Raw genomic sequence first — 15,817 nt, forward strand, 5'->3', positions numbered from 1 at the left:
TAATCCCAACACTTTGGGAGGCTGAGACAGGAGGATCCCTTGAGCTCAGGAGTTCGAGACCACCCTGGGCAACAGAGTGGGACTCTGTCTCTACAAAAATAAATGAATAAATAAATACCTGGGCATGGTGGCTCATGCCTGTATTCCCAGCTATTTGGGAGACTGAGGTGGGAGGATTGCTTGAGGCTAGCCTGGGCAACAGCAAGACCCTGGCTAAAAAAAAAAATGTGTATATATATATGTGTGTGTGTGCATGCGTGTGTGTATATATATATATATATATATATATATATATATATATATATACACACACACATTTAAAAAATTTGGATAGCTTTTGCTAAGCAAGGTCTTAACACTATTTTTTTGTTATTTTTGTCATCAAGCTTTAGTTTTAAAACTTGTTGAATCAAATGTAACTTCAACAGAAACTAGTGTTTTTTGCATTACACTAGTATGAGAGAAATACAGAATGTCTGTTTTGAAATTCCATGCCCTAAGTTAGAAGTATTTCTAAGTTTTTAATTTTTAGAGTTACTTTATTAGTATAAAGATCTGAATATTTTTGATTAAAAATAATTTCAGCATTTGGTAAAATCAGACCTGATTGTGAATCTGATACAGAGGCTAGGTTTTATGAGTATGTGTAGCTCTGCTCTGATGAGTGTTTTTCCAAAATTTATCCAATTAAGTATAGCTTTTAAGGCTTAGAACAGACTGTTTTTCCTTTTCAAGACCAGATATGAATGCACTTTTCCTTTTTTCTCTCTTTCTTCTTTCCCATTTTGATTTCGTGCAGGGAATAAGTGTCCAAGAAAGTCTGCCAACGGAGTCTTTCTTAAGGCCAAAGCTTTTTAGCCCATTTTCTCACTGTGGTCTTGTCCTGGGTACAAAGTAAAGGACAATGGGCCCCCTGCCTTCCTGTTTGTAATCCCCTTCCCAGGCTGCTAATCATAGTAGATCTTTTCCAGGAGGAAGCATATCCTTTTGGTCTTGTAAACTAACATGATATAATTTCATAATGCTCTGAAGTTATTTTATGTCTATTTCATGTATTTCTCTTTGAAAGATGGCCTCGTTTGAACAGGTACTGGTGAATATCTGGATTCTGTGAAACAGTGTGAATAAATATGCATACTTCTTGAACTTTTTTTGTGCAGCTTGTCAGGATAGAAGAGAAATTAAACAGATGTGACTGTGGTAGGAAAAACCTGCAAAAGGTGCCTTGGGCCGGATGCAGTGGCTCACATCTGTAATCCCAGTGCTTTGGGAGGCTGAGGCGGGAGGATTGCTTCACATCAAGAGTTTGAGACAAGCTTGGACAACATAGCAGGACCCCCATCTCTACCAAAAAAAAAAAAATCTGGATGTGGGTGGTGTGTGTTTGTAGTCCTAGTGCTTCGGAGGCTGAGTGGGGAGGATGGCTTGAGTTTGAGATTACAGTGAGCTAAGACAGCGCCATTGCACTCCACTCTGGGCTCAGACTTTGCCTGCTAAAAATAAAAAGATGCCTTGGACTTCTCAGAGTTGAACTGTTTGGTTAACGGGCCACTGATTCATTGATGCTCTTTTACTATAGGCATTACCCATTAACTGAGGGTGCATGTAGAGATTTAGTTCTTTACCTTCCAGGAACTCACACTTTACCACTTCTTTCTTTCTTTCTTTCTTTTTTTTTTTTAAGACAGAGTCTCGCCCTGTCACCCAGGCTGGAGTGCATTGGTGTGATCTCAGCTCACTGCAACCTCCGCCTCCCGGGTTCAAATGATTCTCCTGCCTCAGCCTCCCAAGTAGCTGGGATTACAGGCACCTGCCACCATGCCCAGCTAATTTTTGTATTTTTAGTAGAGATGGGGTTTCACCATGTTGGCCAGGCAGGTCTCGAACTCCTGACCTTCTGATCCGCCTGCCTTGGCCTCCCAAAGTGCTGGGATTACAGGCATGAGCCACCGTGCCCTGCCCTTTTTTTTTTTTGGGATGGAGTCTTACTCTGTCACTCAGGCTGGAGTGTAGTGGTGTGATCTTGGCTCACTGCAACCTCCACCTCCTGGGTTCAAGTGATTCTCCTGCCTCAGCCTCCCGAGCAGCTGGGACTACAGGTGCACACCACCATGCCCAGCTAATTTTTGTATTTTTAGTAGAGACGGGGTTTCACCGTATTGGCCAGGCTGATCTCGAACTCCTGACCTTGTGATCCACCCACCTCAGCCTCCCAAAGTGTTGGGATTACAGGCATGAGCTACTGCACCTGGGCTACCATTTCTATATAGAAATGGTGAGATAAAGTTAACTCCAACTCCTTTTCATTTTAGTACAATTTAGTATCCTGATATGGTTTCCGTGATTTCCAGTCAGAGCATTTTCAAAATTCTTTGTAATGTTGTATGTACATAATACTGTACTTATTATCTAATACTCAATTGGTACTTTTACATTTGTCTTGTGGTTTTTTGTATAGTGTTTGAAGTCACAAGCTTGTAAATGTTTGATGGATTTAAAAATTTATATATTTTATATATATATATATATATATATATATATATATATTTTTTTTTTTTTTTTTTTTTGAGACGGAGTTTCACTCTTGTTGCCCAGGCTGGAGTGCAACGGCGCGATCTCGGCTCACCGTAACCTCCACCTCCCAGGTTCAAGCGGTTCTCCTGCCTCAGCCTCCCTAGTAGCTGGGATTACAGGCCTGTGCCACCACGCCCAGCTAATTTTGTATTTTTAGTAAAGTAGGGGTTTCTCCATGTTGGTCAGGCTGGTCTCGAACTCCCGACCTCAGGTGATCCACCCACCTTGGCCTCCCAAAGTGCTGGGATTACAGGCATGAGCCACTGTGCCCGGCCTATTTTTTGTATTTAATATCACATTGTTTATACCAAAGCATATCATTCAACCATACTACCCTCTACCATTGCCCGTTTTTTTCCCCTTGAGACAGGCTCTTACTCTATTGCCCAGGCTGGAGTGCAGTGGCGCAGTCATGGCTCACTGCAGCCTTGACCTCCTGGGCTCAAGTGGTCCTCCTATCTCAGTCTCCTGAGTAGCTGGGATCACAGGCATGCGCTACCATGCCCAGCTAATTTTTAAATTTTTGTAGAGATGGAGGTCTCACTATATTGCCTATTGCCCAGCCTGGTCTTGAACTCCTGAGCTCAAGTGATCCACCTCAGTCTTCCAAAGTGGGAGGATTAAAGGCATGAGCCCCTGTGCCCAGCCCCATTGCTCTTTTGGATTACTATATTGTTGGCTTAGTTCTCTCTTTCATCCAGATTTTTGACATCATCTTGGCAGATGTCAATGACTATGTAAATAAACAATAACAGAAACAACAATAGTGATAAAATAGCTTATTCATATTGAGCACTTTCTGTGTGCCAGGCTTTTTTCTAAGCACTTTACGTTTATTAACTAATTTAACCCTAATAGCAGCCATATGAAATAAATACTGTTATTCCCATTTTACAGATGAAACTAAAACAGGCCAAGTGACTTCCCCAAAATCATAAGTACTAGTAAGTAACCACTATGCTGAGTTTCCTTTGTAACTACCGTTAACTGTGAAATTTCTTGAATTGAGCTCAAGCAAACATTGGCTTCATTCTGTTCCAGTTGTTTAGTGTTATGGCCACATTTTTAACTTGTCATCATGTTAAGGTCTCAAATTCACCTTCAAGTCTTAAACTGTGATAATTGATAGCTTTCACTTTCATAATCACTTTATGTGTGTTCTCCCACTCTAAGTCTCCTAAACCGTCGGCCTCTTCCAGATTTTACTTCTTTTCCTTCCTTTTCTATACTACGACCTCTGGGTTGCATTGCTTGCAGTTTTTATTCTTTCTTATTATTCTTCAGGACTTACTATGCAGAAGCCAGCCTCACATCATCCCTACCATCCATACCCTCCATTCTTACTCCGTGTCATGGAGAAACCTGCATAGTGCTGGGGATTAGTGCCACAATTAATGTGTAGTCCGAGGTCTCCCTTAAATCTGTCTTTGGTCCCTGTCGGAGCAGTTCTGCTTAGCTCCCTCCCCATTTCTCCACAGTTGCTATTATAAAATCTGGACCCCTTGACTCAAACCTGTCACTGCCCCATGCTTGGCAGAATACCTTGCCTGCCACCTCATAGGAAAAAAGGGCATGAACTCCCTGAGCTTTCCCTTCCTCTACTTACAAACTTCTCTGCCCTCTTTCTTCTGTTCTTTCCCCCAGTGTGAGAAAGAGGTTACTCTGTCTTGGCCTCTGTTAGGGATAGCACTGTTCTAATCTGTAGGAACTCGCAGTATTGGTTACTCTTCTTTTCCCTGCAGTACTTGCCCATTTTCTTTTTTTTTTTTTTTTTTTTTTTTTTTTTTTTTTGAGACAGAGTCTTGTTCTGTCACCAAGACTGGAGTGCAGTGGCCTGATCTTGGCTCACTACAACCTCTGCCTCCCGGATTCAAGTGATTCTCCTGCCTCAGCCTCCCAAGTAGCTGGGATTACAAACGTGTGCCACCACGCCCAGCTAATTTTTGTATTTTTAGTAGAGATGGGGTTTCACCGTGTTGGCCAGGCTGGTCTCAAACTCCTGACCTCAGGTGATCCGCCCGCCTCTGCCTTCCAAAATGTTGGGATTACGGGCGTGACCCATTGTGCCCAGCCTTTTCTACTGTTCTTGAACACACCAGGCATAGTCCTACCATAGGGCACTTGCTCTTACTCTTTCTTTTTCTTTTTTTTTTTTTTTTGAGACAGCCTTGCTGTGTCTCCCAGGCTGGGGTGCAGAGGCACAATCTCCTGGGTTCAAGCAATTCTCCTGCCTCGGCCACCTGAGCAGCTGGGATTATAGGCACCCACCACCAAGCCCAGCTAATTTTGTATTTTTAGTAGAGACGGTGTTTCACCATGTTGGCCAGGCTGGTCTTGAACTTCTGGCCTCAGGTGATCCACCTGCCTCAGCCTCCCAGAGTGCTGAGGTTACAGGCGTGAGCCACCGCACCCAGCTGCTCTTACTCTTTCTTCTGCCTGGAATACTTTTCCCCTGAAATCTGCTTGGCTAACTCCTTTACCTCTTTCAAGTCTTTGCTTAAATCTCAGCACATCAGCAGGCCCACCCTGACCTCATTTATGCACCTGCACAGCAATCCTTCCCACCACCACAATCTTGAACCCCCTGACTTTGCTGTACTCCCCCGTGATGCTGATTACATTCTCGATTCTCTATACCTGATTTATTAATTTTAATGTCCTCCCTCTCCCTACTAGAATGTAAATTCCTCCATGACAAGGAGGTTTGTTTATCTTTTTTGTTCACGGATTATTTTTCCCAGGAACTGCCTGTTGCATTGTAGGCACCCAGTAAATAGCTATTGAATAAAGTATAGAAATGTGCAAGTCTTTCCTATTACAAATAAAGGGCTGGGGGGAGGAAAATCCCTCCTTCGTTTCTGTTCCTTCCAATAAAATCCTTCATTCCTATTTGCTCTCTCCTGCTCATCATAGCCAGGCTCTGACAGTGTCATGGATACTGGCATTTCCCACTTCCGTGCCAACCCACTACAGGCTGGCTTCAGTGTCCCCTCCTGCCCCCCACTTCATGGATACTGCCCTTGCTGTGGTTTCCAGCCTTTATTGCTGAAACCAGGAGGCACACTTCACACTTTTGCAGTACTAAGTATGTTACTCATTTTGTTTTTTTCTTCCTTGAACTTTTGGCTACTTCTGTTTGTGGGCTGGTTTCAGTCTTCTGAAACTGCTGTTTTTCTGGCTACTCACATGGCTATTAAATTCATTCAACATAAATCTTTGTGCAACTTTTTTTTTTTTTGAGACAGAGTCTCGCTCTGTCATCCAGGCTAGAGTGCAGTGGTGTGACCTTGGCTCACTGCAACCTTCATCTCCCGGGTTCAAGTGATTCTCCTGCCTCAGCCTCCCGAGTAGCTGGGATTACAGTCATGTGCCATCACACCCAGCTAATTTTTGTATTTTTAGTAGAGACAGCGTTTCATCATGTTGGCCAGGCTGGTCTTGAACTCCTGACCTCAAGTGATCCACCCGCCTTGGCCTCCCAAAGTGTTGGGATTATACGCGTGAGCCACGATGCCCAGCCGATCTTTATGTAACTTTTAAAAGCTTGCTGTGTCGTTTGGTTTTATTTGTTTTTAGGAACTAGAACTTTGACTACACAACATATTTACAGTGTTAAATAGCAGAATAGGCTATTACAGGAAGTTTTTATTTATTTATAATTTATACCAGTTACTACTTCTAGAAAGGATTTGAGCAGCTTACCACAAATATATACAGTGAAGCTATTAAAATATAAATAAGTAAAAATTTATGTAACAAGAAAAACTAAATGTATAGGTTGCCTCGGCTAATGTGGTTATTGTAATTTAATTTGGAAACATGGAATTTAATGCAAAAAGGGAAAGATAAATTGTACAATTTTCACTCTGGTAAAAGAAAGCCTAATAGTTTGTCGAGAGAAACCTTTTTTCCTAGTATTAAATTCTAAAGATGTTCTAAGAGAAAATTGTTATAAACATCCTGATATAAAGATACGTACGGCCGGGCGCGGTGGCTCATGCCTGTAATCCCAGCACTTTGGGAGGCCGAGGCTGGTGCATCACTGAGGTTGGGAGTTTGAGACCAGCCTAACCAACATGGAGAAACCCCATCTCTACTAAAAATACAAATTTAGCCGGGCATGGTGGTGCATGCCTGTAATCCCAGCTACTTGGGAGACTGAGGCAAGAGAATCACTTGAACCTGGGAGGCGGAGGTTGCAGTGAGCCGAGATCATGCCATTGCACTCCAGCTTGGGCAACAAGAGCAAAACTCCATCTTAAAAGTAAAAAATAGGCCAGGCCTTATGGCTCACGCCTGTAATCCCAGCACTTCGGGAGGCCGAGGCAGGCGGATCACCTGAGGTCGGGAGTTTGAGACTAGCCTGACCAACATGGAGAACCCCATCTCTACTAAAAATACAAAAAAATCAGCTGAGTGTGGTGGTGCATGCCTGTAATCCCAGCTACTCGGGAGGCTGAGGCAGGAGAATCACTTGAACTCAGGAGGCAGAGGTTGTTGTAAGCTGAGATCGTGCCATTGCACTCCAGCCTGGGCAACAAGAGTGAAACTCACCTCAAAAAAATAAAAAATAAAGACTTACTAGGGCTGGGGACAGTGGCTCACACCTGTAATCCCAGCACTTTGGGAGGCCTAGGTGAGAGGATTGCTTGCGCCCAATAGTTCGGTATCAGCCTGGGCAGTGAAGCAGGATCTCATCTCTATTAAAGATAAATTTAGTGGATGGGCGCGGTGGTTCATGCTTGTAATCCCAGCACTTTGGGAGGCTGAGGCAGGCGGATCACCTGAGGTCAAGAGTTCGAGACCAGCCTGACCAACATGGAGAAACTCCGTCTCTACTAAAAATACAAAATTAGTTGGGTGTGGTGGCACATGCCTGTAATCCCAGCTACTCGGGAGGCTGAAGTAGGAGAATCACTTGAACCCGGGAGGTGGAGGTTACGGTGAGCCGAGATCGCGAGCCATTGCACTCCAGCCTGGGCAACAAAAGCGAAACTCCGTCTCAAAAAAAAAAAAAAAAATTAGGTAGGTGTGGTGGCATGTGCCTGTAGTCCCAATAACTCCAGAGGCTGAGGGAGGAGGATTGCTTGAGCCTGGGAGATTGAGGCTGCAGTGAACTGTGATTGTTCCACTGTACTCCAGCCTGGGCAACAGAGTGAGACCCTGTTTCAATAGATAGATAGATAGATAGATAGATGATAGATAGATAGATAGATAGATAGATAGATAGATAGATAGATATGTACTAAATGTTTTCAACAGCTTCTTTAAGTAAAAGGAAGAAATGTTCTTCAAATACCTTTACAAAATAAAATAAAAAATAAACAGGGCAGTGATGCATGCCTATAGTACCCAGCTACTCCTGAGGCTGAGGTACAGCCAAGGAGTTTTGAGGCTGCCATGAGCTTCAATCACACCACTCACTCCAACCTGGGCGGTGAAAAAGTGAGACCCCTTTTCTTTGTTTCTTTTCTTTTTTGAGACAGAGTTTTGCTCATGTCGCCCAGGCTGTAGCGCAATGGTATCATCTTGGCTCACTGCAACCTCCGCCTCCCAGGTTCAAGCTATTCTCCTGCCTCAGCTTCCTGAGTAGCTGGGATTACAGGTGCCTGCCGCCAAGCCCAGCTGATTTTTGTGCTTTTAATAGAGACGGAGTTTCACCATGCTGGCCAGGCTGGTCTTGAACTCCTGACCTCAAGTGATCCACCCACCTTGGCCTCCCAGAGTGCTGGGATTACAGGCATGTGCCACTGTGCCTAGCCAGATAGTAGTTAAAACATTTGGGGAGCATGACTGAGCCTGTTTAGCCATATTGGAGATTAAAAATCTGATATGTCAGGAGACTACTCGTGTATAGTCTGATTCTTGGATTGGGTTAGAATACAGAAAGAAGCTTTTTTTTTTTTTTTTTTTTTGACATGGAGTCTCGCTCTGTCACTGAGGCTGGAGTGTAATGGTGCGATCTTGGCTCACTGCAACCTCCACCTCCGAGGTTCAAGCAATTCTCCTGCCTCAGCCTTCTGAGTAGCTGGGATTACAGGCATGTGCCACCACACCCAGCTAATTTTTGTATTTTTAGCAGAGATGGCATTTCACCATGTTGGCCAGGCTGGTCTCGAACTCCTGACCTCAAATGATCTGTCCGCTTCGGCCTCCCAAAGGGCTGGGATTACAGGCATGAGCTATTGCGCCCGGCCTCCTTTTCTAATATATGATTCATTTTGAACTTCCACAGCGTGGCCCATGGTTAACTTTTATTCAGAGTCAAAAATCAAGAATAAATAGTGACTACATACAGACCCACACACACACCAATTCTTAAATTTTGGGGGGCCATTTTATCAGTATATCCATTGTCAGCAGCACAGTGTTAGGTCCGAAAACCTGCTTGGTCTTCATGGAAAGTATTGGACTGAGAGATGCAAAATGTGATATAAGGAGGACTTTTTCATAGCATCTCAAAAGGGGATCTCTAGCTATAAAAATTTATTTTTGGATACATATTCATTCTTTAAATTATAATTCACACTTTAAAATGTAATTCAGAGGAAAATGTTATATTTTAAATAGCTACTTGTTTCAAATTTGTTTTTGTATAACAAACTGTGCTAATATTGAATTAATTAATTAATTTAGACAGTGTCTTGCTCTGTCGCCCAGGTTGGAGTGCAGTGGTGCAATCTTGGCTCACTGCAACCTGTGCCTCCCAGGTTCAAGCGATTCTCATGCCTCAGCCTCCTAAGTAGCTGGGACTACAGGCATGTGCCACCATGCCTGGCTAATTCTAGTATGGAATTTAAAAGACTGCATTTCTGTTTAATTCTAACAAATGTACTGAATAAAGTATTAGTATATGAGAGGTAAGGGAACTACTGACTGCAACATAGGGGCAGAATGAAATAAATGGGAAAGTGAGGAATCAGTCGAATAATTTTATGGAGCAAAGGAAAAAAAAGGTATGCCCTTTTACTCAGAAAAGCAGACGGATATTAAGAAATGAATTAACGCATCCTGCTCCATGGTCTCATTTGACCTTGTCCTTGAAAGATGTGAACTTGTAATAGGTTGAGAAGGGAGATTGGGCTCCTAGGAATCCATGTGTATAGTGTAGGAAGGTGGTGGCTAGTGGAGAAGAAGGCTTAGAGTTGGGCAAGGAAAGCTGAGACAGGGGAGGTAGGTTGGATTGTGGAGGCCCTTGAACTTTTAGGTTATGCTCTGAGGCTGTGGCAACCAACTGAAGGTTTTTAAGGAGAGGCAATGGCATGAACTGATCATTTTTTTAGGAATATAATCCTGGCTGTTTTCTATGGAAAAGGAATGCTACAAACACAAACCAACCAAAAAACTAGTATTATTTCATTCTTGTTTATCACTTTACTGAAAGATCAATTTGAGTCTTCTCCTTAGATTCCTTATAATCCGAAGTGCCTTTGAGGGCAAGTGGGAATTCTACAAGATCAAAATTAAGCAATTGGGCAAAAATTGAGAAAAATTCAAATGAATTAGACCTAAATGTTTTATTGTCTCTTTAATGTTAGTGAATGCTTCTGGAATTTTTGCTCCATTCCACTTTCCTAACGCTTCTAATTGTATGTCGCAAGGAAAAGTGGTCAGAAGAACAGTTTAGAACTCAGGCTGTGTAAGTGATTTAGAGTATGTATGGTTACCTTTTCTACCTTTCTGCTCTGGCTTTCAAAACTTGGAAGATGTATTTTTTTGCTAATTATTAAGAAATGTTGTTTTCCTATAACTTCTTAAAAATAACTCTGTAGGCTGGGTGTGGTGGCTCACGCCTGTAATCCCAGCACTTTGGGAGGCCGAGGCAGGCGGGTCACGAGGTCAGGAGTTCAAGACCAGCCTGGCCAACATAGTGAAACTCTGTCTCTACTAAAAATACAAAAATTAGCCAGGTGTGGTGGCACGCACCTGTAGTCCCAGCTACTCGGGAGGCTGAGGCAGGAGAATCGCTTGAACCTGGGAGGCAGAGGTTGCAGTAAACCGAGATGGCTATTGCACTTCATCTAGCCTGGGTGACAGAGCAAGACTCTGTCTCAAAAACAAAACAAAACAAAACAACAAAACAAAAAGCACCTCTGTAAAATTATTGTTTCTTGCTGGATTTTAAACTTGATTTCAGACTTACATAAGTAATTCTTTAAAGGAGCAGGGAGTTTTGAAACTAAGTCTTTGATGGATGTCTATTATAATGGATACTGTTTATAGTAGTAGAGAAGTGACAGAATAACTTTCTGTAGTCCACTTAACTGTAGCTTTGAATGACTGGATAACATTTTCACTAAATTTTGAAGATGGTTGCAAGGTGGTTTTTTTTTTTGTTTTGTTTTGTTTTTTTTTTTTTTTTTTTTAGACGGAGTCTTACTCTGTCAACAGGCTGGAGTGCAGTGGTGCGATCTTGGCTCACTGCAACCTCTGCCTCCCGGGTTTAAGCAATTATCCTGCCTCAGCTTCCCGAGTAGCTAGGACTACAGGCACGTGCCACCACACCAGCTAATTTTTGTATTTCTAGTAGAAACGGGATTTCACCACGTTGGCCAGGATGGTCTTGATGTCTTGACCTCATGATCCGCCCGCCTCGGCCTCCCAAAGTGCTGGGATTACAGGCGTGAGCCACTGTGCCCGGCCTGAAGTTTTTACCATGAGACAGTAAAATCAGAAAAAATATTTAGGTTTAGGTTGTTTTGAGAAAGTAATTAAATATAAACTTCTAAAAAGGATAGATGTTATTAGCACACAACAATGCCCGGCTAATTTTTGTGTTTTTTTGCAGAAATAGGGTTTCACATGTTGCCTAGGCTGGTCTTGAACTCCTGAGCTCAAGCCATCTGCCTGCCTTGGCCTCTGAAAGTGCCAGAATTACAGCAGGTGTGAGTCAGAGTGTACAGCCCTGACCGTGGTTTTTGTTTGTTTGTTTGAGATGGAGTCTCGCTCTGTTGCCCAGGCTGGAGTGCAGTAGTGCGATATCCCAGCTCACTGCAACCTCCGCCTCCCGGGTTTAAGCGGTTCTCCTGCCTCAGCCTCCCGAGTAGCTGGGTTTACAGGTGCGTGTCACCACGCCTGGCTAATTTTTTGTATTTTTAGTAGAGATGGGGTTTCACCATGTTAGCCAGGATGGTCTCGATTTCCTGACCTTGTGATCCGCCCGCCTCAGCCTCCCAAAGTGCTGGGATTACAAGCGTGAGCTGCCGTGCCCAGCCTGTTTTGTGTGTGTGTTTTTTTGAGATGTTGTTGGCTCTGTTGTCCAAACTGGAGTGCAGTGATGGAATCATGGCTAATTGCAGCCTCCAACTCCTGGGCTCAAGTGATCTACCCACCTCAGCCTCTCAAGTAGCTGGGATTACCGATGCATGCCACCACACCCAGCTAATTTAAACAAAAATGTTTTTTGGTAGAGAGTGTCTGAATATGTTGCCCAGGCTGGTCTTGAACTTCTGGCCTCAAGCAATTCTTTCACTTTAGCCTCCCAAAGTGTTGGGATTATAGGCGTGAGGAACCATGCCTGGCCCCAATTTATGTTTTTTATTTAATGCTGTTTAAATGTTAGTTTGTTGACATCCAGTTAAATAGGAATTCAACCAAAAAAAATAACTATTGTATTCAAGACCCATCCTGTGTTGTAGGGCAGCTGTCCCCATTCTTTTTAGCCCCAGGGACTGGTTTTGTGGAAGACGGTTTTTCCACAGACAGGGTTGGGGTGATGGTCTCAGGATGAAACTGTTCCACCTCAGATCATCAGGCATTAGATTCTCATAAGGAGTGTGCAACCTAGATCCCTTGCATGCACAGTTCACAGTAATGTTTGCACTTCTATGAAACTCTGATGCCATCGCTGATCTCACAGGAGGAGGAGCTCAGGCAATAATGCTCACTTGCCCACCGCTCACCTCCTGCTGTGTGGCCTGGTTTTTAACAGGCCACAGACCTGTACCACTCTGTGGCCTAGGGGTTGAGGACCCCTCTTGTAGAGGATTAGAAACTTGACTAAGGCTGGGTGTGGTGGGACATGCCTGTAGTCCCAGCTACTTGAGGCTGAGGCTGCAGTGAGCTGAGATGGTTCCACTGCACTCCAGTCTGGGTGGACAGAGTGAGGCCTTGTCTTAAACAAACAAACAAAAAATTAGCCGGGCATGGTGGTGCACCCCTGTAGCTCCAGCTGCTCGGGAAACTGAGACAAGAGAGTCACTTGAGCCTGGGAGGTTGAGGCTGCAGTGAGCCATGATTCCCTTGACAGAGCAAGACCTTGTCTGAAAAAAACAACAAAACAATAAAAAAAGTAATTTATTCTGCCTTGGGTAAGGTCAATGATTTGAAAAGTGTTAAATAGAGGAGCAATTGTATTTGGTTTTGGGGTGGAGAGAATCCATCAAGACTTTAGACAGGAGCAAGTGAGAAGGTCCTGGAAGAATAAATTGGAATTTAAAAAGAACAAGACAAAGGACACAGTGGGGAAAGGGAAAGTTGGAGCAAAAACACAGGGGCAGAAAAACTTGGGATGCATTCTGGAAGTCCTCTGGTGGGTGGTTGTAAAAGAATGTGGCTGGAAGGCAGTGTTCATGTGGGCTTGTAAAAATAGGTGGTTTATGTTGCAGAACACTTTGAATGCCATTGTGGGGAGTTCAGTCATTGCTTCGTAGACAGGAGGGGAACTTGGAGGATTTTGAAGTGGACAGTGATAGAAATAGATCTGTACTTCAGGAAGGTGAATCTTGGCAATATTATGTGGTACAGATAGGGCAGATGAAAAGGGATAATTCACCTAATTGGATAACTGTGGTAAAGATAATAAAAAATATTTTTAAAAAAGAAAATGGGGATATTGTGTAGTATGGATAGGGTAGGAGGAAGAGAGAGAAAGCTGGTTAAGAAGGCCTTGGGTGAGAAGTATTGAAAGCCTAAAAGGTAATGGTGGTGGTAGAAATGGAGAGATTTTATAGATATAAGCTGATTAGATGGATAGACAAAGCAAGCTTTTAGCCTGTGTGAGAACAGCAGAATGGTGAGAACATTAAAAAGAAATAGAAAGGAGGCCAAAGAGCTGGTATTGTTTTGGGGATAGAGGTTTCGGCTTTAGTTGTGTGAGATTGAATGAAATGCTGGAAGGATAGCTAGGTAGAGGAGTCGAGTAGTCTATAGAAAAATGTATGTGTGTATGTATGGGGACATTAGGTATTAGAGATGTTAATGTTTTGGTTCATAGTTACAAATACATAGTACTTTATATCTAAAGCCCACCAAGGAGGTTTCAGCCTTTCTTGTCTTGTTTGTAACATTCAACACTTTGGTAGGTCCTAGGTAGAACACAAAAGAAAAAAGTTTTGTTTTGTTTTTTAAAATTTAAATATCAACAGTATTCAACAACTATCAACATTTTGGCAATCTTGTTCTGTCATCCCCTAACAAATTCCTTAATATCATCTAATACCCAGCCTATCTTCAGACTACCTGATTATCTAAAAAATGTATTTTTAGGCCGAGTGTGGTGGTTCACACCTGTAATCCCAGCACTCGAAGGCTGAGGCTGGAAGATTACATGAGTCCAGGAGTTCGAGACCAGCCTGGGCAACATAGCGAAACCCCGTCCCTACTAAAAATACAAAAAGCTAGCCAGGCGTGGTGGCGTGTGCCTGTAATCCCAGCTACTTGGGAAGCTGAGGTGGGAGAATCACCTGAGCCCAGGAGGTCAAGGCTGCAGTGAGCTGAGATCATGCCACTGCACTCCCCAGCCTGGGCAACCAGAGGGAGACCCTGTCTCAAAAACAAACAAACAAACAAAAAAATACATTGTATTTGGTTGATAAATAACGCAAGTCTCTCTTTTTTTTTTTTTTTTTTTTTTGAGATGAAGTCTCGCTCTCTTACCAGGCTGGAGTGCAGTGGTGCGATCTCAGCTCACTGCAACCTCTGCCTCCCGGGTTCAAACAATTCTTCTGCCTCAGCCTCCCAAGTAGCTGGGATTACAGGTGCACGTCACCATGCCCAGCTAATTTTTGTGCTTTAGTAGAGATGGGGTTTCACCATGTTGACCAGGATGGTCTTGATTTCTTGACCTCGTGATCTACCCATCTCAGCCTCCCAAAGTGCCAGGATGACAGGCGTGAGCCACCGTGCCTGGCCCACAAGCCCAGGGTTATAAAACCCTGTCTCCCCAATTATGCTATTTGTTTGAAGAAACTTGGTTGATTTATTCTGTAGATTGTTTCATATACTGAATTTGCCTGTTTATATCTTTGATGTGTCATCTAAGTTGCTTCTTTCCTCCCTATATGTCTTCTAAACTGGTAGTCAGATCTAAAGCTTGATTTTATTCAGGGTTTGGTTTTTTAAACAGTTTTCATTTTAAGGGGAGTGGGGCAAGAATACTTAATAAGCTGTGTATTTCCTTTGTTCGAGACCAGCCTGGCCAACATGTTGAAACCCCATCTCTACTAAAACCACAAAAATTAACCTGGTGGTGTGTTGGGCACCTGTAATCCCAGCTACTCGGTAGGCTGAGGTAGGAGAATCGCTTGAACCCATGAGGTTGAGGCTGCAGTGAGCCAAGATCGTGCCACTGCACTTCAGCCTGGGTGACAAGAGCGAAACTTCATCTCAAAAAAAAAAGAGTTGGGAAAAGGTAACATTCTATAATTCTTTCATTTCTTCTGCATTTATTAGCTAGAATTTTTCTGTAAAGAACTTACCCTCAGCCGGGTGCTGTGGCTCACACCTGTAATCCTAGCACTTTGGGAGACTGAGGTGGGCGGATCATATGAGGTCAGGAGTTTGAGACCAGCCTGGCCTACATGGTGAAACCCTGTCTCTACTAATAATACAAAAATTACCCGGGCGTGCTGGTGGGCTTCTGTAATCCCAGCTACTCGGGAGGCTGAGGCAGGAGAATTGCTTGAATCCCGAAAAAGGAGGTTGCAGTGAGCCAAGATCATGCCACTGCACTCCAGCCTGACCTGGGTGACAGAGTGAGACTCCATCTCAAAAAAAAAGAAAAGAGAAAAAAAAGAACTTACTTTCATTGACTATTTGGTTATCCTGGAATATTTTATACAGGCTATACAGACTAGATGTATGCTTAATTCTGTTTTATTTGCTGTTTTCAGGATAATGCATTTTCTTCCCTCTGTAACCATTGATCTATTAATGAAGTTTTTAAAAAAAAAAGTATCGTAAGCTTATGAATTTATATATTTGACTTTTAAAAATCAATTTGCAGTATTTTTTACATGTTAGG

At 43.1% G+C, this 15,817-nt stretch overlaps 1 protein-coding gene across 4 annotated transcripts in view; it reads left to right on the forward strand.

Moving 5' to 3' along the window:
• Nucleotides 1-15,817, forward strand: part of KIF1B (kinesin family member 1B) — a 171,034-nt gene that overhangs the window by 2,057 nt on the left and 153,160 nt on the right. The gene's annotated exons all lie outside the window — the stretch shown is intronic.

This window comes from Homo sapiens, chromosome 1, assembly GCF_000001405.40.
Source record: "Homo sapiens chromosome 1, GRCh38.p14 Primary Assembly".
In the NCBI taxonomy this organism is placed as follows: domain Eukaryota; kingdom Metazoa; phylum Chordata; class Mammalia; order Primates; family Hominidae; genus Homo; species Homo sapiens.